The sequence below is a fragment of the Homo sapiens genome, chromosome 12, assembly GCF_000001405.40.
Source record: "Homo sapiens chromosome 12, GRCh38.p14 Primary Assembly".
NCBI classification, from domain to species: Eukaryota; Metazoa; Chordata; class Mammalia; order Primates; family Hominidae; genus Homo; species Homo sapiens.
In genome coordinates, this window is record NC_000012.12 from 32,024,740 (window position 1) to 32,051,720 (window position 26,981).

Here is a 26,981-nt window from a genome sequence, read left to right on the forward strand (position 1 = left end):
ACCACTGTCTGAACCTGGTGCCCTTCCTTCTGATTATAGTTTTCGTTGTTGTTACTGTGTTTTGTTTACTTTTACAATTTTGGAATATGAAAATATCTTTCTTTTGTAACGACAAATATGGAATACAAACATTACAACTTCTTTTTTTGCCCATCCTGGATTAAAAAGGAAATAATAGATGAAATGCCTTGCAAAGAGGACAAAATATTTTGGGGTCTAAAATGTGCTTTGCCCAGGATCTTGCCTTGTAATGATAATGACTCTCCCTTAGTGATCCAAACAAAGGAATGTGGTCAACTGTATGAACAAGGTTCAGTGAAGTCCTGAGTCACATGACAATCTGTCCTCCCCAAGCCTCTGTGCTTCAGAAGCTGGAAAGTCGTTCTACCCTTGGGCACAGGGTACATGTGCAGTAGCAATAAATAGCACCAGGAGGAATAGGAGCAACAAGTGTTACTGGTAGAGGGTCTTGACTACGAGTTGTCCAGGTCCTTGGCATTTTGAACAAAGAATTGAACAAAACGTACGAAGTAGCAGAGAAATGAAATGCAGGAATGAAGCAACGAGAGCAGGAATTCATTAAAGCGAGAAAGCACTTCACAGGGTGGGAGTGGGCCTGAGCAAGCAGCTCAAGGGTGCAGTTACAAAGCTTTCTGGGCTTTAAGTACCTCATTTGAGGTTCTTATCTAGATGAAGGATTTGGTCTGTGGCAAATTAAAGACTGAGGTGAACTGGCGCCCTGTGCAGATAAAGGGATGGTCCCTGCTTCGCCAGGGCCAATCCAAGGCACTCTCCTTTTCCATCCCAGCACTTTGGGAGCCTGAGGCAGGTGATCACTTGAGCTCAGGAGTTCAAGACCAGCCTGGCTAACATGGTGAAAACCTGTCTCTACTGGTGCTCTCGCCATTATTCCATCTGCTATGAGCCCCTTTCTGCATAAAGTAAAGTTTGCCTTGCTAAGAGAATTAAATTTATGTTTGAATGTTATTTCTTTGTAGCACTGGGGAACAAGCATTCTATTTCTAAATAAACATTTTTACATATAAGAAATGGTGGTCCGTACAGGGATACATTTTCCTCTGGGGTGGTCTCTAGTCCTCTCATGAGGGGGTCTCCCACTGCCTCATTGTGGTGGCCTCAGGGGTAGTAAGAAATTGAGACCCATCTGGTGTGATGAATAGACCCGGACTCTCAACAAGGCAGAAGAAACTGGCCAGCAATCTGGAGTAAATGATCCTCACATATGATGTGGACCAGGCGACCTCATGCATGAGCCAAGAAAGGAAACAAACCAGAGGAGCCGTACACCAGCACCTGCCTGGAAACCACATCCTCATCAAAAGATAGAAAGAAGAAAAACTCGAGGCAGCCTAAGAACCCTACCTTGTGCTGCTAACCACCGAGACTGCCGTTCGCACAGCAGAAAAGGATAGACACATCATACCCAAGTCAAAAAAGCGTCATCACCATCAAAGTTATAGGTCATTGTTCCAGGGTCAAGCCCTACCAAGTTAAAGCTAAGAAAACTTTATCTATCTTTTCTTTCCTTTAACTACTCCCCATCTTATTAATGTAACTAAATCTAACTCACCTCAAATTATTACTTTTAATGCCTGTTCAGTTATCACTCCTCTCATACCAAATGACAAAACCAAAGTCTTTGTAGTAAAAGTAAAAAAATCTAAAGCAAACCACAGCAATTAAAACAAGATATCAAGATGTAAATGACTAGCTAAAATACATTAAATATTCTGTCCGCACTCTAAATAAAAGCAATTGTTATGCTTGTGCACACAGTAGGCTAGAAGTCCAAGTTATCCCCTTTCCACTCAGATAGTCCTCTAATCGACAAGGCATGGACTGCATGGTAGCTCCTTTTCTTCTTTTGTCTTTTTTTCTTTTTTTTATCTGAGACGGAGTCTCGCTCTGTCGCCCAGGCTGGAGTGCAGTGGCGCAATCTCGGCTTACTACAAGCTCCACCTCCCGGGTTCAAGCCATTCTCCTGCCTCAGCCTCCCAAGTAGCTGGGACTACAAGCGCACGCTGCCAAGCCCGGCTAACTTTTTTTTTTTTTTTTTTTTTGTATTTTTAGTAGAGACGGGGTTTTACCCTGTTAGCCAGGATGGTCTCGATCTCCATCTCCTGACCTCGTGATCCGCCCGTCTCGGCCTCCCAAAGTGCTGGGATATAGGCGTGAGCCACTGCACCCGGCCGGTATCAAAATCCTGCAGCCTAAGATAGTAAAGTGTGCCAAACTCTCTCTACTATTTCCTAAAGTGCAGTACCCTGAGGGTCAGCCCCCCGAGGGCCATTCAGCCTCCATCTTCCAAGACCAATTTTACCTCGTGTCTCCAACGATAAAAGGAAAATTTAGCGTACTTTGAAGACTTAACATGATACAGCGAGGTCAGGCACTTCCAAAAGCTAACCCATCAGTCCACCCTTATTCATCCCCAAGCGGATGCATAGTAATACTGTAAAAAACCTTTACTAGACACTCTACCAAATAATTAGAGCAGCACTTATGCTCTAGTTCAATTAGCTATCCCTTTTACCCTGGCATTTCATCAATCAGAAAAAGAGAAATTACGACATAAGCAAATAAAAGAAGCCTCAAAAGAAGCAGCCCCTTACAGCTATTTTGATTCCCATGTCTATTCAGATGCAATTAGAGGTCCTCACAGAGTACCAAATAAATTTAAAACCAGAGATCAAATAGCTGCAAGGTTTAAGTCAATGTTGTTTTAGTGAGTAGCAATTAATAAAAATGTAGATTAAATAAACTGCATTTATTACTACCAGCAGCAATTTATTAACTATACCAAAGATGCTGTTAAAGAAATAGCTGAACAATTAAAACCCACAAGTCAAATGGCCTGAGAAAATAAGATAACTTTAAATATAATATTAACAAAGAAAGGTAGTGTTTATATTATAATCAAAACTCAGTGTTGCACCTTTATTCCAAACAACACTGCTCCCAATGGGAGCATAACAAGGACCCTCCAAGGACTTACTGCCTTATTAAATAAGTTAGCAAAAAATTCCAGCATTAACAACTCTATTTCAAATTAGCTCGAGAAATAGTTCAGCCAACAGAAAGAGACCATGGCCTCAGTCCTTACTTCTCTAGCAACTGTAATAAGTATACTTCTCCTTATTAGATGTCATGTTATGTTATACCATACATTTAAAAGCTAATCAAAACAACTAAGCCAAGACATATTTAAAAAAAAAAGTTTGAAGAAGAAAACTATAAAAACAAGACAAGGAAATTGTAGAAAGTAAAAAGTTCCTCTTCAAAGTTTCCCTTCTTGTTCAAGAATAAATCATAAGTGTTAGAAATAGTAGTTTCTTTTAAAGACTAACTGTATGCTAGACATGCGCACAGGCCTGTCCCGGCTCGCAGCCTATGCCCCTTCCTTATTTAAGAATGTTATTACCTTTCTAAGTCCTTTCGTAAGTAACTTCCTCTTTTCCTTTGTCTTTCTATTGCCTTTGCCTATTTAGAAAAGTTTTAAACTGTTAGCTAATCAGGTTTTAGTTTAGATTGTGAGGTCTGGCTTTAGCCAATGGAGACAGGACACAGTAGCAGGGACAAACTGCGTAAAGGATAAAAATTACTTCCCTCCATTGTTCAGGTGTGCTCTTGCCATTATTCCATCTGTGGTGAATACTTGACTTTCTGCAAAAAGTAAAGATTGCCATGCTAAGAGAATTAAATTTATGTTCGAGTGCTATTTCTTCGTAGCACCAAGGAACAAGCATTCTATTTCTAAGTAAACATTTTTTACATATAACCAACAAACAAACAAAAACCTGTCTCTACTAAAAATACAAAAAAATTAGCAGGACGTGGTGGTGCACACCTGTAATCCCAGCTACTCAGGAGGCTGAGGCAGGAGAATCATTTGAACCCGGGAGGCCGGAGGTTGCAGTAAGCCAAGATTGTGCCACTGCACTCCAGCCTGGGTGACAGAGTGAGACTTCGTCTAAAAAAAAAAAAAAAAACAGATAAAAATGTGTTATTTGTAAATTAGCTGGGTGCAGTGGTGTGGGCCTGTAATCCCAGCTACTCATGGGGCTGAGGTGGGAGAATCTCTTGAGCCAAGGAGGCGGAGGTTGCAGTGAGCCCACATCACGCCACTTCACTCCAGCCTGGGTGATGGGAGTAAAACCCGGTCTTAAAAATAAGTAGGCCAGGCTCTGTGGCTCATGCCTGCAATCCCAGCACTTTGGGAGGCCGAAGTGGGTGGATCATTTGAGGTCAGGAGTTTGAGACCAGCCTGGACAACACGGTGAAACCCTGTCTCTACTAAAAAAAATACAAAAATTAGCTGGGCATGGTGGCGAGCACCTGTAATCCCAGCTACTTGGGAGGCTTAGGCAAGAGAATTGCTTGAGCCTGAGAGGCAGAGGTCGTGGTGAGCTGTGATAGCACCACTGCACTCCAGTCTGGGTGAGAGAGTGAGAGACCCTGTAGGAAAGAAAAGAAGGAGGGAAGGAGGGAAGGAGGGAAGGAAGGAAGGAGGGAGGGAGGGAAAGAAGAAAAGAAAGAAAGAGAGAGCGGGAGGGAGGCAGGGAGGAAGGGAGGGAGGAAGGAAGGAAGGGAAGGGAAAGGAAAGAAAGGAAGGGAAAGGAAGAAAGGAAAAGGAAAGAGAAAGAAAAAGAAAGAAGAAAGAGAGAAAGAAAGGAAGGAAGAAAGAGAAGAAAGGAAGAAAGGAAGAAAGGAAAGAAAGAGGGAGAAAGGAAGGAAAGGAAAGGAAAGAAAGGAAGACAGGAAAGGAAGAAAGGAAAAGGAAAGAAAGAAAGCAAAAGAAAGAAAGAAGAAAGGAAGAAAGGAAAGAAAGAGGGAGGAAGGAAGGAAAGGAAAGAAAGGAAGAAAGGAAAGGAAGAAAGAGAAAGAAAGAAGAAAAGAAAGGGAAGAAAGGAAGGAAAGAAAGAGGCCCTGTGCACAGCCTCACACCTGTAATCCTAGCACTTTGGGAGGTCGAGGTGGGTGGATCACTTGAGGTCAGGAATTTGAGAACAGCCTGGCCAACATGGTGACACCCCATCTCTACTAAATATATATATATATAAAAAATTTAGCTGGGCATGGTGATAGATGCCTGTAATTTCAGCTACTTGGGAGGCTGAGGCAGGAGAATCGCTTGAACCCAGGAGGGAGAGGTTGCTGTGAGCCAAGATAACACCACCACACTGCAGCCTGGGCTACAGAGTGAAACTCTGTCTCAAAAATAAATAAATAAAAATAAATTAATTAATAATTGTATTTATTGCTGCTATTTTTGAAGTTAATTAAAGGTATTTTAAGCTGGGTGTGGTGGTTCACACCTGTAATCCCAGCACTTTGGGAGGCCAAGGTGGGTAGATTTCTTGAGGCCAGGAGTTCAAGACCAGCCTGGGCAACATCGTGAGCCCTCATCTCTACTAAAGATAAAATAATTATCCGGGTGTGGTGTCATGAGCTTGTAGTCCTAACTGCTCAAGAGGCTGAGGTGGGAGGATCCCTTGTGCCTAGGAGGTGGAAGTTGCAGTGAGTCGTAATCTCACCACTGCACTCCAGCCTGGGTGACAGAGCCAGACCCTGTCTCAAAAGAAATAAATAGGCCGAGTGGGGTGGCTCACGCCTATAATCCCAGCACTTTAGGAGGCCAAGGCAAGTGGATCACATGAGGTCAGGAGTTCGAGACCGGCGTGGGCAGCATGCTGAAACCCCGTCTCTACTAAAAAAAAAATGCAAAAATTAGATGGGCGTGGTGGCACACGTCTGTAATCCCAGCGACTTGGGAGGCTGAGGCAGGAGAATCGCTTGAACCCCGGAGGCGGAGGTTGCAGTGAGCCGAGATTGTGCCATTGTGCTCCAGCCTGGGCAACCAGAGCAAAGCTCTGTCTCAAAAACAAACAAACATTTGCTTTTTTGTTTTTAATATTACTATTTTACTAATGGTACAATACTCCCCCATTTACCACAAGTGATAGATTTTCTGTCAGGTTTTCTTCCATTCCATGTAAAGCCATTTGTCTCCTCCATCAAATTATTTTACTGCTAATTCTGCCTTTAGTCATCTGCATTGTAATCTTTTACCTCTAGTTTTGTATGAATTCAACAGCCTTAAATAACTGCACGGAGTGATGCAACTTATTTATGATTAGAAAATGCTTGTTAATGAACCACATGCAGTCATTTTTGAAATTGTAAATGGCATTAACAATTTTTCTTCTTTTCTTTTTTTTACTTCTTTTTAAAATAACTTGGGTACTCTCTTTTCCTTATTCTTGCCAAGCATATATATTAGTGAAAACCTATGCGGGAAGTGGCAATTTGGTCTCCTCTTCCTCCTGTAGTTGTTAGTTATTTGAATAAGGTGATTTGAGTTATTTCTAATTCTGGCTGTATTCTCTTGGGTTCCCACAGACACACACCCTGAGAAAGGATTTGAAAGCAAGTATTAATAATTCACTGGGAGGTGATCTCAGGAAACACTGGTGGAGGACTGGCGACGTGAGATAAGGATGGAAGGGAAAAGCAGTTAAGAAAAGGGTGAGCTATCAATCCAGCTGCCACTGTGAGCAACTGTAGCTGCATCTTGCTGCAGAACCCTGGGACTCAGTGTAGAGAGCATGACCCAGACTTACCCACAGGATGAGTGAGGGAGCTGGTTATGAACTGCTGGGGGAGTGTTACAGTTCAGGCTGCCAGAGCAAACCTTGTCATGGAAATCAGCCGGGCATACACTACAGAGTCAGAAGTAGGGATGGAGGCACTGAAGATGGCAGGCACAAACACAGTGCAAAATTTTCATCATCAACTCTATGTTTTATATACTTTGAAAGATTTAGATAACTGGCATCAACTTATTTATCAGAGAAGAGTTGAAGAGTGAGACCATTTAGGAGGCTTGAGATAGTCCAGGTAGCAGCTTAGACTTGATTGTATGGAAATAAAGACCACCTACAGGAGAACAAATAAAGGCTATCTAATCAGAGCTTGCTATATAGCAAGAGAGAGAGCCACCATCATGTGCATTTGGTAAAAAGTCAAAGTCAAGCAGAGGACTGCGAAAACTTGATAGTGGAAAAAGCAAAAAGTTTCAGGTCTACCCTGATTGGACGCTGTCGACCTGGAGAAGCTGTAGGCAGCTAACTAGAAGAGGCGCATCCTATGGGATTGGTTAGGGGTGCATATTTGGCTTTCTCCTGTGGGTCCTAAATTGGAAGCTGGGACAGAAATGAGAGAAGCTGGCAGTTACTTGAGACAGGGTCTCACTCTGTTACCCTGGCTGGAGTTGCAGTGGCACGATCATGGCTCACTGTATCCTCAGCCTCCCAGGCTCATGCAGTCCTCCCACCTCAACCTCCCAAGTTGCTGGGACTACAGGCATTTGCCACCAAGCCTGGCTAATTTTATTTTTAATTTTTTGTAGAGATGAGATCTCACTGTGTTGCCCAGGCTGGTCTCAAACTCCTGGGGTCAAGAAATCCTCCTGCCTCAGCCTCCTAAAGTGCTGGGGTTATAGTCATGAGTCCCGTGACAGGCAAAGCTGGCAGCTATCAGGGCATACTTGAAACCTTCTCTTTTTCCACTATAAAAATTTCCCACTCCTCTGCCTGCCTTTGAGTCTTTGCCAAAACACAAGTGACTGTGACTGACGCTCTTGCTGTAGCAGGCTCTGGATAAATAGCCTTTGATTGTTCTCTTTCGGTTGGTCTTTGTTTATGTCCATAGATCAAACCATTTTTACTTGCATCTTCTTGCTCCTGTCATATACTTGTTTTGTGCCAGCCGTATGAAACTTCTCACTTTCCTTCAAATCAGCTTGCCAGTCCCTAGAATGTGCAAGCTGCTCATGTTGCTCATGTTGTATGTGTCCTGTATCTAGAAAACCCTTTTACTGCTTCTCCAGCTGACGGAAAAAATCCTACTCGCTTTACTCCAAAGGCCAGCTCAAGTATCACCTCATCTGTGAAGCATTTCCTAACTCTTCCAGGGAGAATTAATTGAGCCCTACTTCTGAGATCCTATTACACTTTACTCATGCTGGTAGCAGGACCCGATTGCAGTCATAGCTTTCAGGCAGTGTCTGCATCACCTGAGGAAATGTCAACTCCTTTAGGGTAGGGGGCCTTCATATTGCTCCTGACTCTTAGAAGATGCTCAGTAAATGTTTGTGAAATGAAGTTGAATAAAATCCTTACTCTCAAAACTCATTTTTGCTATATTCTATACAACCAAAGGTAAATGGGAGGATTGGTAGAAGTTTTCCTTGGACCGGCAAACCTTTCCCTTGTCCCATTTTAAAAAAACATAAACCGAGGCGGGCAGATCACGAGGTCAGGAGATTGAGACCATCCTGGCTAACACGGTGAAATCCCTTCTCTACTAAAAATACAAAAAAATTGGCCGGGCATGGTGGCGGGTGCCTGCAGTCTCAGCTACTCGGGAGGCTGAGGCAGGAGAATGGCATGAACCCAGGGGACGGACCTTGCAGTAAGCAGAGATGCGCCACTGCACTCCAGCCTCGGTGACAGAGACAGACTCTGTCTCAAAAAAAAAAAAAAAAACAAAAACCATAAACAGGGTATTGTTAATAGTGTTATCAAAATTAGCTGGGATGGGTTTGGTAGACTTGCACTTTGCACTTCTAGCTTCTATCATGGTCTCATTTGGTGGTGTGTGAGGCACTTGTGCTGTGAGCTCTCTCTCTCTCACTCTCACTCTATTTTTTAGAGATAGGGTTTCACTATATTGCCAAGGCTAGCCTTGAAGTCCTGGGCTGAAGTGATCTTCCTGCCTTAGCCTCCCAAGTACCTGGGACTACAGGCATGCGGCACTGTGCCAGGTTCAGGTTCATTTCAAATGGAAAAGACAATCTTTCTTCCCTTCCCAATCCTTGCCAGACCTCATTTAACTAATAGCTTCCTTTTCAAGGACTGCAGGCAGAGGCAGAGTGCTTGCTGTTACATGAAGTGTGCTCCAGTGCTGGTGGCTTGGGACAATGAATTCATGCAGATCTCAGGCGATGGCAGGAGAAGTATTGGATGCTCCTGATCAGTTGGTACATCTGTATATGAAATACAGGAGGAAACAGGCCGGGCAGTCCTGCCCGCTGTACAGAGAAAGTGGTCGACACAGCAGGGGAATTTAAAGATCACCTCTAACCATCTCAGTTCTTAAGTGGCATCTTTAGTTGGGCCTAGGAATTAAATTGACAAAGGCAGATTAACAGAAGAAAAGCACACAAGTTTTATTAATTTTTACCTGTACAAAGGGACACTTACAAGAGAGTGAACACCTGAGGAAATGGCCAAAGCGGAAAGCTTTTCTACTTTTTAGATAAAGAATGGTAAATCTGTGAAGAAAGGACTGGACAAAGGGATCCAGGTTGGGGACAGTAAATTCTAGGGGAGTCACTAGGAGATTTATGGGGGGATGTAAACCTAGTGGAAGATAAGGATTTATTAAGTAAGTTTATCTGTACAGGTCCAGCTCAGTGGCAGTTCCCAGTCCCTGGAGATAAGGGTTATTTTCTTGCCCTGGTACCGGAAAGGCCTCCTCCTCAAAGGAATTTTTATGACTTGCTACATGTAGGAAAGGACAGGTCAGAGAGCCCTTTCTGCAATTACAGTCTCTCAAGTACTTTCAGCTTGAAATAATCAGTACATCACATCAGCCAATTTTGGGGTGGCTCATCCTTAACTCCTGCAACACTTTTGCTTAGTGGTTTTATCATTATATATTGTATAAATATATATATATAGTATACATCTATAACCATTTATTTATTATACTTACATTAATTTTTTTCCTATAGACTCTTCCAGCAAGAATAAGGTTTTTTTTTGTTTTTGTTTTGAGAGGGAGTCTTGCTCTGTCACCCAGGCTGGAGTGCAGCAGCATGATCTCAGCTCACTGCAACCTCCGCCTAGCGGGTTCAAGCGACTCTCCTACCTCAGCCTCCCAAGTAGCTGGGACTACAAGCACCCACCACCATGCCCGGCTAATTTTTTGTAGTTTTAGTAGAGACGGGGTTTCATCATGTTGGCCAGGCTGGTCTCGAACTCCTGACCTCCGGTGATCCGCCTGCCTCAGCCTCCCAAAGTGCTGGGATTACAGGCATGAGCCACCCCGCCCGGCTGCAATAATATTTTTTTTAAGGTTTTTTTTTTTTGCCTTTTTGTAGGGTTTTTATTTATTTATTTTGGTGGGTTTTTTTTCCTTTCTTTTTCTTTTCTTTTCTTTTCTTTTTTTTTTTTTTTTAAGACAGGGACTTGCTCTGTTGCCCAGGCTGGAGTGCAGTGGTGCAATCACAGCTCACTGCAGCCTTGACCTCCTGGGCTCAAGTGATTCTCCTACTTCAGCTTCCTGCGTAGCTGGGACCCCAGGTGCTCACAACCATGCCCAGCTAACTTTTATTTTTTGTAGAGATGAGGTCTTACTTTGCTGCCCAGGCTGGTCTCAAACTCCTGAGCTCAAGCGATCCTCCAGCCTCAGCCTCCCAAAGTGCTGGGATTACAGGTGTGAGCCACTGTGCCCAGACACAAAAGTTCTTAAAGAAGGAAAAATTAGGCTGGGCACAGTGGCTCACGCCTGTAATCCCAGCACTTTGGGAGTCCGAGGCAGGCAGATCACAAGGTCAGGAGTTCGAGACCACCCTGGCCAATATAGTGAAACCCCAACTCTACTAAAAATAAAAATAAAAAAAATTAGCCAGGCATGGTGGCACATGCCTATAATCCCGCTACTCGGGAGGCTGAGGCAGGAGAATCACTTGAACCTAGGAGGTGGAGGTTGCAGTGAGCTGAGATCACACCACTGCACTCCAGCCTGGGCGACAGAGTGAGACTCTGTCTCAAAAAAATAATAAAAATAAAAATAAATTAGCTGGGTGTGGTGGCCTGTGCCTGTAGTCCCAGCTACGTGGGGGGCTGAGGCAGAGAATTGCTTGAACCCGGGAGGCAGAGGTTGCAGCAGCTGAGATCGAGCCACTGCACTCTAGCCTGGGTGACAGAGCGAGACTCCATCTCAAAAAAAAAAAAAAGAAAGAAAAAGAAAAATTAAGTCTGAACTTTGAGTTTCTCAAGGAAGCTAATGATGCATGTATAAATTGCACAAAATATTTATCAACATTTACCATCCCCGGTGAAGGCTGTAGTAATATCATTGACTACATGAAAAAATAGAAGACACAAATTTGCTGAAGAAGAATCAGTGTCTACTTCAAATGATAATAATTCTTTTAAGCAGATCGTGCCTGAAAATGACAAGGTAACATATGCAGATGCAGAGGTGAATTTCCTTATCACTCTGTGAAGTACGCATCCCATTTAGGGCAAATGACAGCCTTTTTAAGTTAATTTTGCTCTTTTTTTTTTTTTTTTTTTTTTTTTTTTAGATGGAGTCTCGCGCTCTGTCGCCCAGGCTGGAATGCAGTGGTGCAATCTTGGCTCACTGCAACCTCCACCTCCCAGGTTGGAGCAATTCTTCTGCCTCAGCCTCCCGAGTTGCTGGGATTACAGGTGCCTGTCATCACGCCCGGCTAATTTTTGTATTTTTAGTAGAGACGAGATTTCACCATCTTGGCCAGGCTGGTCTTGAACTCCTGACCTCAAGTGATCCACCTGCCGTGGCCTCCCAAAGTGCTGGGATTACAGGCATGAGCCACCGTGCCTGGCCAAGAAAATTCTTAAGTTTCAAACCACTTGTGGTTTTGTTTTCTTTTTGGATGTTTTAGTTAGCTATGGATAAAATCTCCACAAGGTGTCCCTAAGCTACAGATATGAAAATGTCCTGCTCAGAACACCCTTGGGAGTCCCCATCCCCAAACTCCACTTAGGCAACTGATTAGTGAAATCCAATTAGATCCAGCATCTCTCCCAAGATACTTTGACTCCAGGTAAATTCAGGATGAATGGAGAGGAATGGCAGCTTCACTCACCACCACAAGGTGCTGCCTCCTGCTGTGTTCCAGACAGTCCCAAAGCCCCAGAAGCACAGCGCAGGGACTCCAGAGTGAGACTGAATGAAAACATATCCACACGTAAGTGCCACTCACACACTCTGTGTCCGGGGCGTGGAATAGGCCAGGAGAACCTTGGTCTGAAAATACGAAGAGCTCGTTTCTTCCTCTTAATCTATCACTAGTACCACAATACTGAGTTGAGATCATTATTGCTATATTACCTCAAGCCAATCATTAATGTCAATGGTATTAACTTTTTCTCATTTGTAAAAATGATCAAACTTGGTTTAAGATGTTCCGTATAGTCCCTTGAAATTACTTTTGTTTGTTTGTTCATATCTATCTATAAAAACAAGCTGATGTAGCATTTTTTGTTTTGTTTTGTTTTGTTTTTGAGACAAGGTCTCGCTCTGTCACCTAGGCTGGAGTGCAGTGACACGATCTCAGCTCACTACAGCTTCGACTTCCTGGGCTCAAGCAATCCTCCCATCTCAGCTTCCTGAATCTCTGGGGCTACAGGCTTATGCCATCATGCCCAGCTAATTTTCGTTGTTTTGGTTTTTGGTTTTTTGTTTTTTGAGACGGAGTCTCACTCTGTCGCCCAGGCTGGTGTGCAGTGGCGTGATCTCAGCTCATTGCAACCTCCACCTCCCGGGTTCACGCCATTCTCCTGGCTCAGCCTCCCAAGTAGCTGGGACTACAGATGCCCGCCACTACGTCCGGCTAATTTTTTTGTATTTTTAGTAGAGACGGGGTTTCACCTTGTTAGCCAGGATGGTCTCGATCTCCTGACCTCATGATCCGCCCACCTCGGCCTCCCAAAGTGCTGGGATTACAGGCGTGAGCCACTGCACCCGGCCTAATTTTTCATAGTTTTTTGTAGAGATAGGGTTTCGCCGTGTTGCCCAGGCTGGTCTCAAACCCCTGAGCTCAAGTGATTGGCTTGTCCTCCCAAAGTGCTGATTATAGGCGTGAGCCACTGCACCCGGCCATGTTTTTTCTTTATGCATACTTACCCTCTTTATTTCTTACTGGCTTACCTAAAATATGTGAAGAGGCTGCTTGCCAGGAGGTGAGAGAAACTGGAGGAGAGTGGTAATGCAATGAGTTTTGGATTTCTTTTTTTTTTTTTTTTTTTGAGGCCGAGTCTCAATCTGTCACCCAGGCTGGAATGCAGTGAGTGGTGCAATCTTGGGTCACTGCAACTTCTGCCTCCCAGGTTCAAGCGAATCTTCTGTCTCAGCCTCCCAAGTAGCTGGGATTACAGATGTGCACCACCACACCTGGCTAATTTTTGTATTTTTAGTAGACACGGGGTTTCGCCATATTAACTAGGCTGGTCTCGAACTCCTGACTTCAAGTGATCTGCTCGCCTTGGCATCTCAAAGTGCTGGGATTACAGGTGTTAGCCACTGCACCTGGCCGAGTTTTGTGTTTCAAATGCCAGACTTGGGACAGCTGAAGACTCCTCAGGTGATATGGACTACCAATAATACTGATTGGTAGGTAAATTGCGGGGATGGAACTAAGATCTCAAAGCCTGACCTGTAGCTATCTAAGACATTTAGTATCAACTGACTTCTTTCTTCCTTCCCTTCAGGTAACTATTAGGGATTTCCTAGGCCAGTTCTCAAAGAAACACAGCTTATCTTATGACCCAGGACACAGGCACACAGACACACATACGTGACTGAATTAATACTTAGCCTTACACCATTGCACTGTTTTATTTTCTTTCCTTTTCCTTTTCTTTTCTTTTTTTTTTTTTTTTTGAGACGGAGTCTTGCTCTGTGCCCAGCCCAGGCTGGAGTGCAGTGGCGCAATCTTGGCTCACTGCAAACTCTGCCTCCCGGGTTCACGCCATTCTCCTGCCTCAGCCTCCCGAGTAGCTGGGACTACAGGCACCCACCACCACGCCTGGCTAATTTTTTGTATTTTTTTTAGTAGATACAGGGTTTCACTGTGTTAGCCAGGATGGTCTCGATCTCCTGACCTCGTGATGCAACCATCTCGCCCTCCCAAAGTGCTGGGATTACAGGTGTGAGCCACCGCACCCGGACTCTTTTTTTTTTTTTTTTTTTTTTGAGATGGAGTTTCGCTCTTGTTACCCAGGCTGGAGTGCAATGGTGCCATCTCGGCTCACTGCAACCTCCGCCTCCCGGGTTCAAGCAATTCTCCTGCTTCAGCCTTCTGAGTAGCTGGGATTACAGGCATGTGCCACCACGCCCAGCTAATTTTGTATTTTTAGTAGAGACAGGGTTTCTCCATGCTCGTCTCGAACTCCTGACCTCAGGTGATCTGGCCACCTAAGCCTCCCAAAGTGCTGGGATTACAGGCGTGAGTCACCGCGCCTGGCTGTTTTCTTTTCTTTTCTTTGTTTAGAGATAGGGTCTCACTCTGTCACCCAGGCTGGAGTGTAGTGGTAAAATCATAGCTCACTGCAACCTCCAACTCCTGAGCTCAAGAAACCCTCTCTCCTCAGCCTTCCAAGTAGCTAGGACCACAGGTGCACACCACTACACCAAGCTATTTTCACAAATTTTTATACAGACAGCATCTCAGTATGTTGCCCAGGCCGGTTTCAACCCCCTGGGCTCAAACAATCCTCCCACCTTGGCCCCCAAAGTGTTGGGGTTTCAGGCATGAGCCGCTGCGCCCAGCCTTGTTATTTTCTATTCTATTGTTTTGTTTGCTTATCATTCTTGGCTTCCAACAGCAATTTTTAAAAACTGTTTTGGGGTAGAGGGAGTATGGCTAACAGCTGTTTTTTCCTTAAATCTGCGCTGTGGATCTTAGAACCAGATGCCTGTTATTCACTCCCAAGCCTCCTAGGCAACCCGCCAGTGAGATCGTCCCGCCAGTGAGATCGTCCCGCTGTTAGTCTTTGAGTTGATGGCCAGTCAGCCCTGGGTCTTAGTGGGTGGGAATAGAAGTGGGGGATGCAGAGAGAAAGCTCATTAAACATGGCCTTGCCCTAGGATTCAGAATGCAGTGCGCCTGCACTGAATCAACCTGTCAGAGAGGCTGTTCTTTGAAAAGAAGTTTGGGTCTGTCATTTAAAAAAATTAAACAATTTAGAAATGTAGTCCTCTCCTGCTTAACATCAGTAATCTATTACTGAAAATTGGTTGTTCTGCATGAAAATGCTAACCTTCAGCCTATTTATTTTATTTTAAACAGAAAAATTATACTATGTCAACCCCAAACCCTCAATCAATTTCTTAAAAGGTTAACTAAAGCATGGTAAGGTACCTAAATATAATTCTTATAAAACAAAACATCTGGTCAGTTGTGAAATGTTTAAAACATTGCTTCTTGATCACCAAATAATTAATATGGTGAATAACAGATAGGGGCTTTTGTGCAGTAGAAGATTCAAGACCAAGACAAGCTCATGTTTCCCTTTAGGCGGGCTTCCTCCTGAGGGAGGCCCCTGACCTCCCTCTTCTTAGAGCATTTGCTTTAGAAAACTTGTAAATTTTCTCTCTGATACTTCGAGATGCCAATTTTTTTTTTTTTTTTGGTCATTTTACCTTTAGTCGATGCATAATCTTTAAAAAAGCTTTGTCAGTTTTACAACCCAGGAAAGTCTTTCTCCAAGACCTGGGAACTATTTCTTTGAAATGCAATCAGCAGGACATAGCATCCTTATCTCTGTTTCTGTGGGAGGGCAGCAGGAGCCTGACTCCAAATTGCCTTGCTCCAAGTTTCAAGATATCGTGCTCTAAGTTACAAAACTAACTCTTGTCACAAAGCTAGGATACGTTTATTTCTCCTTTTTGTTGATTTTTGAACAATTAGAATTTATTTCTCACAGTTCTGAAGGCTGCGTGTCTGAGAGCAGGGTCCCAGCACAGCCAAGTTCTGGTGAGGACCCTCTTCCAGTGGCAGATGCCCACTTCTGGTGCTATCTCCCATGGAGGACAGCAGAGGCTATAATTCCTTTGGAGAAAGCCTACTAGCAAATACACAATGGAATTTTATTTAGCCTTTCAAAAAAAGGAATTTCTGCCATTTGCGACAACATAGATGAACCTGGAGAACTATGCTAAATGAAAAAAAGCCAGGCAGGGAAGGACACATACTGCAGGATCTCACATGTATGTGGAATCTAAAACAATCAAGCTCATAGAAGTAGAGAATAAAATGGTGGTTACCAGGGGCTGGGAGCGAGGAAATGGGGAAATGTTGGTCAATGGGTACAACATTTCAGTTAGACAGGAGGAATATTTTTTTGAGATCTATTGCACAGTATGAGAACTATAGTTAATAATAATGTACTGTATATTCCAAAAATGCTAAGTGAATACATTTCAAATGCTCTTCCTACCAAAAAAATGATGAGTATTGGCTGGGCATGGTGGCTCACACCTGTTATCCCAGAGTTTTGGGATGCCAAGGCAGGCAGATCACTTGAGGCCAGGAGTTCAAGGCCAGCCTAGGCAACATAGTGAAACCCTGTCTCTATAGAAAATTAAAAAAATTAGACAGACGTGATGGTGTGTGCCTGTAGTCTTAGCTACTCAGGAGGCTGAGGTGGGAGGATGGCTTGAGCCCAGGAGTTCAAAGTTACAGTAAGCTATAATGGTGCCACTGCACTCCAATCTGGGCAACAGAGTGAAAACTTGTCTCTCTAAAAAAATAAAAAAAAAAAAAGATGAGTATTGAGGTAATGGGTATGTTAATTAGCTTGATTTAATAATTTCACATTGTTTACATATATTACAACATCACTCCGTACCCCATAAAGACATCAAATTATAAAAAGCCAACGGCAAACACAAATGGCCTGTGACTTCCCTTATGTCCTTCAGTACTAATTCACCCAATCCTTTAAAACCTATCCCTTCTGGGCCGGGTGCGGTGGCTCATGCCTGCAATCCCAGCACTTTGGGAGGCAGAGGCAGGCAGATCACGAGGTCAGGAGATCGACGTCAACCTGGCTAACACAGTGAAACCCCGTCTCTACTAAAAATACAAAAAATTAGCTGGGCGTGGTGGTGGGCACCTGTAGTCCCAGCTACTCTGGAGGCAGAGGCAGGAGAATCACTTGAACCCGGGAGGCAGAGGTTGCACTGAGCCGAGATCCCGCCACTGCACTCCACCTGGGCGACAGAGAGAGACTCCGCCTCAAAAACAAACAAACAAACAAACAAACAAACAAAACCTATCCCTTCTGATGAGCAGTTTAGTTCATACTTAGTTCTGGCCCTCTCCCCTCCTGCAGTTTAACTTTGCCTAAAGTTTCAACGTTGTTCAGTGCAATTTTTCCTTTGACACCACCAGTGGTCCTGTGTTGCACCCCTTTTGTTTTGTTTCATTTTGTTTTTTTGTCTTTTGGTTTATTTGGTAGAGACAGGGTCTTGCTTTGTTGTCCAGGCTGGCCTTGAACTCCTGGCTTCAAGGGCTCCTCCTGCCTCGGCCTCCCATGGTGCTAGGATTATAGGTATGAGCCACAGCACCTGGCCTATTGCACCCCTTTTGTTGTTGTTTGTTGTTTTTTGGTTTTGAGACAGTGTCTTGTTCTGTTGCCCAGGCTGGAGCACAGTGGCATGATCGTGGCTCACTGCAGCCACTACCTCCTGGCTCAATCGATCCTCCAGCTTTAGCCTCCTGAGTAGCTGGGACTACAGAAGTGTACCACCATGCCTGGCTAGATTTTTGAATTCTTTGTAGAGACAGAGTTTCACCTTGTTTCCTAGGTTGGTCTTGAACTCTTGAGCTGAAGCCATCCAACTGCCTCGGCCTCCCAAAGCGCTGGGATTACAGGCGTGAGCCACCGCACCAAGCCTGTTTCGTGTTTTGTTTTTTAAGACAGGGTCTTACTATGTCACCCAGGCTTGAGGGCAGTGGCGTGATCATGGCTTACTGCAGCTTTGACCTCCCAGGCTCCAGTGATCCTCCCACCTCAGCCTTCTGAGTAGCTGGACTACACACGTGCTCCACCACACCCAGCTAATTTTTGTTCTTTTTTTTTTGAGACAGAGTCTCGCCCTGTCACCCAGGCTGGAGTGCAGTGGTGCAATCTCAGCTCACTGCAACCTCTGCCTCCTGGGCTCAAGCGATTCTCTTACCTCAGCCTCCAGAGTAGCTGGGACTACAAGCTCAGGCCACCACACCCAACTAATTATTTTTATTTTTATTTTTATTTTTTGAGACAGAGTCTCACTCTGTCACCCAGGCTGGAGTGCAGTGGCAACCTCCTCCTCCTGGGTTCAAGCAATTCTCCTGCCTCAGCCTCCTGAGTAACAGGGAATACAGGTGCCCACCACCACGCCTGGCTAATTTTGTATTTTTAGTACAGATGGGGTTTTACCGTGTTGGTCAGGCTGGTCTTGAACTTCTGACCTCAGGTGATCCACCTACCTCAACCTCCCAAAATTCTGGGATTATAGGCGTGAGCCACCACTCCTGGCCAATTTTTTGTATTTTTAGTAAAGATGGGGTTTCACCATGTTGGCCAGGCTGGTCGTGAACTCCTGATCTCAGGTAATCCACCCACCTTGGCCTCCCAAAGTGCTGGGATTACAGGCATGAGCCACTGCACCCAGCCTTAATTTTTGTATTTTTTGTATAGACAGGGTCTCACTATGTTGCTCAGGCTTATTTCAAACACCTGGGTTCAAGTGATCCTCTGGCCTCAGCCTCCCAAAATGCTGGGATTATAGGCGTGAGCCACTGTGCCCAGCCCCTTTTGTTGATCGCGCCACAATTTTCCAAAACGTTCATAGGGACTCTATATTAGCTTTCTAGAGCTGCCATAACAAAGCACCACAAACTGGGTGGGTTAAAAAAACAGAAAATGTATTATCTTACAGTTCTGGAAGTCAGAGGTCCAAAATCAAGGTCTTGGCAGGGCCATGCTCCTTCTGAAGGCTCCAGGGAAGAAATCTGTTCCATGCCTTACTTTTAGCTTCTGGTGTTGCCAGTAAATGCTTGTTGATACAGCACTTTAATCACTGTCTCCATTGCCTCATAGCATTCTTCCTGGGTCTGTCTCCGTGTCTCTTCTCTGCTTCTCATAAGGACAGCAGTCATATTGGATTGAGTCCATACTACTTAATATAGTTTGAATATTTGTCCCCTCCAAATCTCAAATTGAAATGTGACCCCCAGTGTTGGAAGTGGGGCCTAGTAGGAGATGTTTGGGTCATGGGGACAGATCCCTCATGAATGGCTTGATGCCCTCCTTACAGTAATGAATGAGTTCTTGCTCTATTAGTTAATGTGCAATCTGATTGTTAAAATCTCTCGCCATGTGACACACTGGCTCTCCTTGCCTTCCACCATGATTGGAAGCTTCCTGAGGCTTCCCCAGAAACAGACACTGGCACCTTGTTCTGTTAGAAATAAAAGCTCAGAGTCGTAAAGAAAATGAGCACTCAAACACAAGATTTCTCAGCAAGGCAAATTTTCTTCTGCAGAAGGGTGCAGCTTGCGCCAGTCATTATCGCAAGAGCACACCGAGCAGGGTAGGAAAGGGGTTTTTATCTCTAATGCAGTTCCTAGCACTTCTGTGTCCTTTCCCCATTGGCTGGGGTTGGACCTCACAATCTAAGCTAACTCGATTGGCTAAGGTTTAAAATTGAATAGGGTCTATTAGGTGAAGAGTCCGTTACTAGGTGGGAAAAGAGTCTGTTACTAGGCGGGAAGGCATATCTGGACTTGTCTGGGCATGGCAAAGGCAGGAAGGTTGTTTACAGAACAGGTAGCTAGGAGACAAGGAAGTACAAGGAAGTTGGTTTTAAGAAACAAAGAACAGGGAACGAAAGCTTTTTGAAGAGGAATTTATCATCTCTGACACTTCTTGTACAGTCTGCAGAACTGTGAGGCAATTAAACTTCTTTTCTTTGTAAATTACCCAGCCTTAGCTATTCCTTTATACAATGCAAAATGGACCAAATATAGTACTCAAGTATAACCTCATTCTAACTTAAATCTTAATTACATCTGCAAAGACTATTTCCAAGTAAGGTCACATTCACAGGTACCAGGGGTTAGGACTTCAACACATCCTTTGGGGCAGATACAATGTTGAGGATTGCCTCAACAGACTCTGAAGAAATAGCAATAATATTTGGAATAAAAGGCCTTTCTTGCATTTCATTTTTTGAAAAATATTGTATCATGTTTAGGATGTAAAAATTTTGTGACTTTTCTATAGAATTGTTAGCCAGAAATGTTATATTGAGAGATACATATGTTCTATGAAGTTTGAGTTTTAAAAATGAAGAGAAGGCTGGGCATGCCTGTAATCCTAGCATTTTAGGAAGCCAAGGCAGACAGTTTGCTTGAGCCCAGGAGTTCAAGACCAGCCTGGGCAACATAGCAAAATCCTATCTCTACAAAAAATAAACATTTAGCTGGGGCCGGGCACAGTGGCTCATGCCTGTAATCCCAGCACTTTGGGAGGCCAATGCAGGCAGATCACCTGAGGTCAGGAGTTTGAGACCAGCCTGGCCAACATGGCAAAACCCTGTCTCTACTAAAAATATAAAAATTAACTGTGTATGGTGGCGTGCACCTGTAATCCCAGCTACTTGGGAAGCTGAGGTAGGAGAATCATTTGAGCCCGGGAGGCAGAGGCTGCAATGAGCCGAGATTGGGTCACTGCATTCCAGCCTGGGAGACAGAGTGAGACTCAGTCTCAATAATAATAATAATAATAATAATAATAATAATAATAATAATAAAACTAGCTGGGTGTGGTGGCCTTTGCCTGTAGTCTCAGCTACTCAGGAGACTGAGGTGGGAGGATCATTTGAGCTTGGGAGGATGAGGCTGCAGTGAGCCATGATTGAGCCACTGCACTCTGCACTCCAGCCTGGGCAATAGAGCAAGACTGTCTTAAAAAAAAAAAAAAAGAGGTATTTCTCTTTTAGGGGAGAAGGTTTACCTGGGAGGCATTATGCAGGGTGAGCAGTAATCTATCTGGAGGACACACTTGGGTTTGGTGAAGGTGACACTTCTTCAAAGAGAAATCGAGGGTTGTGTCAAAGACAAAACCCAGAGAAGTAGGCAGATTGATTAAAGAACACTTGAGAGGCAAAGATCAGAGGATCTCAGCAGGGTGCTTTTGCCCTAGACTTATATAGAGAGGAGTAAACAAGCTGAAGTGGGGTGATATGCAGTTGGGGTTGTTTTGTATGCAGAACTGTCTGTCACTTAGCTGAACCAGAAATATTATTCTCAGGGAAACAAATTGTTCTAATCTTAGCTAGTCAACTACAGCAAAGAATGGGAAATTGGAGGATTTGTGTTTGGCCTTGTTGCAGATGAACAAGGGAGCCAACCCTGAGAACCGTGGGGTCACAAGAGAGTGGACGGTGAGTTGTACCTATGTCCTATGCAGAAGGATGGTTCTCTGAGCAAGTCTTCTCCAAGAACACAAAAGAATGGGGGATTTTGAAAAACAAAAGGTGGTGGAGGATGGGGGTTGCATGGGGTTCAGGTTGGGGGTGGGGGTACTGGGGGTGCAGGGTGCTTTATCATCGCTGCTTTCTTTTCTTTTTAAATAAATACATTTTCTTTCTGTCTTCTTTATTTTATTTTATTTTATTTTATTTTTTTGAGACAGGGTCTCACTCTGTCGCCCAGGCTGGAGTGCAGTGGCACAATCTCAGCTCACTGCAAGCTCCACCTCCTGGGTTCACACCATTCTCTTGCCTCAGCCTCCCCAGCAGCTGGGACCACAGGTGCCCGCCACCATGCCTGGCTAATTTCTTTTGTATTTTTAGTAGAGACGGGGTTTCACTGTGTTAGCCAGGATGGTCTCGATCTCCTGACCTCGTGATCTGCCCACCTCAGCCTCCCAAAGTGCTGAGATTACAGGCGTGAGCCACCATGCCTGGCCTCTTTCTGTCTTTATTTTATTTTACTTAAATTTTTTTGATTTTGTTTTTGTTTTGTTTTGGAGTTTTTTGCTCTTGTTGCCAGGCTGGAGTGCAATGACACGATCTCGGCTCACTGCAATCTTTGCCCCCTGGGTTCAGGCAATTCTCCTGCCTCAGCCTCCTGAGTAGCTGGGATTACAGGTGTGCGCCACCACGCCCAACTAATTTTGTATTTTTTTAAGTACAGACGGGGTTTCTCCATGTTGGTGAGGCTGGTCTCAAACTCCCGACCTCAGGTGATCTGCCTGCCTTGGCCTCCCAAAGTGCTGGGATTACAGGCATGAGCCACTGCACCCGGCCAAAAAAAAAAAATTTTTTTTTTTTTTGAGACAAAATCTCACTCTGTTGCTGAAGCTGGAGTGCAGTGGTGTGATCTCGGCTTACTGCAACCTCCACCTCCCTGGTTCAAGTGATTCTCCTGCCTCAGCCTCCTGAGTAGCTGGGACTACAGGCACGTGCCATCATGCCCGGCTAATTTTTTTATTTTTAGTAGAGACAGGGTTTCACTATATGGGTCAGGCTGGCCTTGAACTCCTGGCCTCAAGCGATCCACCTGCCTTGGCCTTCCAAAGTGCTGGGGTTACAGGCATGAGCCACAGCACCCGGCCAAACAAATTTTTTTTGAGACAGAGTCTTACTCTGTTGCTCAGACTGGAGTGCAGTGGTGCCATCTCAGCTCACTGCAACCTCTGCCTCCTGGGTTCAAGCAATTCTCCTGCCTCAGCCTTCCAAGTAGCTGGAATTACAGGCGCCCACCACTAAGCCATGATAATTTATTTTATTTTATTTTATTGTTTTAGTAGAGACAGGGTTTCACCATGTTGGCCAGGCTGGTCTCAAACTCCTGACCTCGTGATCCACCTGCCTTGGCCTCCCAAAGTGCAGGGATTACAGGCATGAGCCACCATGCCTGCCTGATTATCACTGCTTTCCAGAGGTGCAGGGTCTCAGATAAAGGTCAACAGTGCTCAGTGGTCAGGAGGAAGAAAGACCTATGTGTCACTGAGCAGAGACTGTAACTTCCTGCCTTCAGTTATTCCCAGTTACTCTTAGAAGTGTTTTATTTATCTTTGCAAAATGGATCTCACAGTCATGGGGTGCCGCTGCCACAGTGGCGGGGCCCACTTAGTGACTGCCAAACTTCAGACTTGAAAGGGTATCCTTTTGTCAGACTCCAGTGGGCTGTGCAAGAAATCCGGGGAAAGTGCAAGTGAGGCCTCTGAGATGCAGGAAGACCAGAATTCCTAGTCCATTTTATTTTTATTTAAAAAAGCAAGAATTTAAACTTTACTGACATTGATTATAGAGTATGCACTGGATTTGTCACTCTGAATCTATGTCACCGTTATGTGTCACCTCCTCGGGGAAGAACAGAAGCGTCACATTGTGGTGACTTTCCTCCCTGAACCCCTTCAGAGTGCAGCATATTACAGGTTAGGAGTGCCTGGTTAAAGGCAGATGGAATGATCTAGTTTCAACTAAACCTATCTTTACACAACAGATAAGTGGCTTTAAAAGACTCCTACAGAGAAACTGCTGGTTTTCAAGATAACTCTAATAATGCATGTGGCGGCAAACAAGGAGCTGTTTGACAACACTGACATCTATTCCTACAGGCGTAGAAGCCCTTTGTCTACTATTTGACAAGAAAATATAATAAAAATCTAACATAGTTTATTAGAAGTTGGTCAAAACATTCAAAATTACCAACACTGTTTGAAATACGGATTTATATTATTGTTACTATGAGCCTCACCCTAATTGTTGTGTATGAAGAGGTTTCATGAAATGTCTGTTCTGGTTATTACAGCCATGTATCCACCAAGATTTGAAATAAACTGAACTTAGAAGCAGTTCTTGGCCAGGCGCAGTGGGTCATGCCTGTAATCCCAGCAGTTTGGGAGGCCGAGGCAGGTGGATCACCTGAGGTCAGGAGTTCGAGACCAGCCTGGCCAACATGGTGAAACCCCATCTCTACTAAAAATACAAAAATTAGCTGAGCATGGTGGCACGCGTCTGTAATACCAGCAATTTGGGAGGCAGAGGCAGGAGAATAGCTTCAACCTGGAGGCAGGGGTTGCAGTGAGCCGAGATCATGCCACTGAACTCCAGCCTGGGCAGCAGAGTAAGACTCTGTCTCAAAAACAACAACAACAACAACAACAACAACAACAGTTATTTACATCAAGGGTCCCCAAACCCTGTTAGGAATGGGGCCACACAGCAGGAGGTGAGTGGTGGGCGAGGGAGTATTACTGCCTGAGCTCCGCCTCCTGTCAGATCAGCAGTGGCATTAGATTCTCATAGGGGCGTGCACCCTATTGTGAACTGTGCATGTGAGGGATCTTGGTTGCACACTCCTTATGAGAATCTAATGCCTGATGATCTGAGGTGGAACAGTTTCATCCTGAAACCATCCCCACCCCACCACCAGTCCATGGAAAAGCTGTCTTCCACGAAATTGGTCCCTGGTGCCAAATAGGTTGGGGACCACTGCTTCACATCACTATTTCATAGTGTTGAACCAGACTTTCAAAATTAGTGAAATGCAGAACGTACAACCACTGGTCCCCTTCCCATGATAGTGGGAAAGACCTGGGTCTAGAGTCTATATTTTTGTACTTATGAGACATGTTAAAGTATAGTTTTCAAGAAGGTAACAATGTGGCTGTCTGGCAAATATGCAATGAAATGTGTCAAAGATTTTACTTAGCTCACCGATTAATGAGGGAACCAGTAAAGATGCAGTGACCAGTTCAAAGAGCATTTGAGAAACAAGAAGATTTCTAGGACAAGCCATGAGTGTGATGGTTAATTTTAGGTGTCAGTTTGACTGGATTAAGGAATATCTAGAAACTTAGTAAAGCATTGTTTCTGGGTGTGTCTGTGAGGATGTTTCCAGAGGAGACTACCATATGAGTCTGAGTGGACTAAGTGGGGAAGATTCCCCTCAATGTGTGTGGGCACGGTCCAACTTGCTGGGGGCCCAGAGAGAACAAGAACAGAAAGGGAGAATGTGTCCATCTGTCTGCCAGAGCTGGGATGCACTTTTCTTCTTCTGTCCTCGGACAACAATTCCAGGCTCCCGGGCCTTTGGACTCTAGGACTTACATCAGCGGCCCCTGGAGTTCTCAGGCCTTTGGCCTCAGATTGAAGTTATACCATCAGTTTCCCTGGTTCCGAGGCTTTCACACTTGGGCTGAACCACACTACTGACATCCCAAGGTCTCCAGCTCGCAGATGGCCTGTGATGGAACTTCTCAGCCTCCATAATTGAGAGCCAATCCCTCTAATAAATCCTTTTTCCTATATCTATATTTATATCTATATCATCTATCTGATCTATATCTATCATGTCCCATTGATTCTGTCTCTCTGGAGAACCCTAAGATAGTGAATTAAATGTTAATGTCCAACAAGCCACAAATCGGGAGTTACAGTCATGCACTGAATAACAACATTTTGATCAATGGCAGACTGTATATATGACAGCAGTTCTGTAAGCTTATAATGGAGCTAAAACATTCCTATTGCCTAGTGACACTGTGGCTATTCTGACGTCATAGCATACTGGATTACTGGTGTGTTTGTGGTGATGCTGGTGTAAACAAACCTGCTGTGCTGCCAGTCATATAAAAGTATAGCAGGCACACTTATGTACAGTCCATAATACTTTATAATGATAATAAAAGACTATGTTACTGGTTTATGTACTTACTCTATTCTTTGTTGTTATTTTAGAGTATACTCCTACTTATTTAAAAAAAAAAAGTTAACTGCAAAATAGCCTCCGGCAGGTCCTTTAGGAGGTGTTCCAGAAGGCATTGTTATCATAGTAGATGACAGCTCCATGCATGTTATTGTCCCTGAACCTTCTAGTGGGACAAGACGTAGAGGTGGAAGACAGTGATATTGATGATCCTGAGTATAAGTAGGCCTAGACTAATGTGTGTGTTTGCATCTTAGTTTTGAACAAAAAAAGTTTAAAAAATAAAAAAAGCTTATAGATTAAGGATATAAAGAAAGGAAATATTTTTGTATCACTGTACAATGTGTTTGTGGGTTTTTTTTTTTTTTTTTTTTGAGACAGAGTCTTGCTCTATCGCCCAAGCTGGAGTACAGAGGCATGATCTCGGCTCACTGCAACCTCCACCTCCTGGGTTCAAGCAATTCTCCTGCCTCAGCCTCCTGAGTAGCTGGGATTACATGTGTGTGCCACCACACCCTGCTAATTTTTGTATTTTTAGTAGAGACGGGTTTCACTATGCTGGCCAGGCTGATCTCGAACTCCTGACTTTGTGATCTGCCCACCTCGGCCTTCCAGAGTGCTGGGATTACAGGTGTGAGCCACTGCACCCGGCCAATGTGTTTGTGTTTTAAGCTAAGTGTTATTACAAAAGAGTCAAAAGTTTTTAAAAATTTTAAAGTTTAAAAAGTAAAAAAGCTACAGTAAGCTAAGATTTATTATTTAAGAAAATGTTTTCCAGTCTGGGCAACATAGTGAGACCCCATCTCTACAAAAATTACAAAAAGTTAGCTGTGTGTGTTGGCTGATGTCGGTGGTCCCCGCTACTTGGGAGGCTGAGGCAAGAGGATTGCTTGAGCCCAGGAAGTCGAGGCTGCAGTAAGCCATGATCACACTACTGCACTCCAGCCTGGGAGACAGAGTGAGACCTCACAAAAAATTAAAAAATGTTTAAAAATAAATGCCCCACCTGAGCAACATGGTGAAACCTCGTCTCTACAAAAAATTTAAAAACTACCCGGGCATGGTGGCGGGTGCCTGTGGTCCCAGCTATTTGGGAGGCTGAGGTGGGAGGATCTCTTGAGCCTAGGGAGGTCAAGGCTGCAGTGAGCTGTGATCGCACCACTGCACTCCAGCCAGGTGAGAGAGCTAGGCCCTGTCTCAAAAATAAAATAAAATAATCCATCCATAAATAAATAATAAATGTAGCATAGCCTAAGTGTCCAGTGGTTATAATCTACAGTAGTGCACCGTAATGTTGCAGGCTTTCACATTCAATCACCACTCAGTGACTCACCCAGGCAACCTCCAGTGCTGCAAGCTCCATTCATAGTAAGTGCCTGATAAACTACAGGGCACTTTTGGGCAGTTGACTTTA

General features: G+C 44.3%; 2 annotated features.

Moving 5' to 3' along the window:
- Window positions 256–550: an enhancer, noted in NCBI's record as "tiled region #8759; HepG2 Activating non-DNase unmatched - State 3:PromF". NCBI's record gives its function as "activates a minimal TATA promoter and a strong SV40 promoter by Sharpr-MPRA in HepG2 cells {active_cell/tissue: HepG2}" and the evidence as "EXISTENCE:reporter gene assay evidence [ECO:0000049][PMID:27701403]".
- Window positions 19,123–19,323: a silencer, noted in NCBI's record as "peak1660 fragment used in MPRA reporter construct". NCBI's record gives its function as "represses an SCP1 promoter by STARR-seq MPRAs in K562 erythroleukemia cells {active_cell/tissue: K562}" and the evidence as "EXISTENCE:reporter gene assay evidence [ECO:0000049][PMID:32103011]".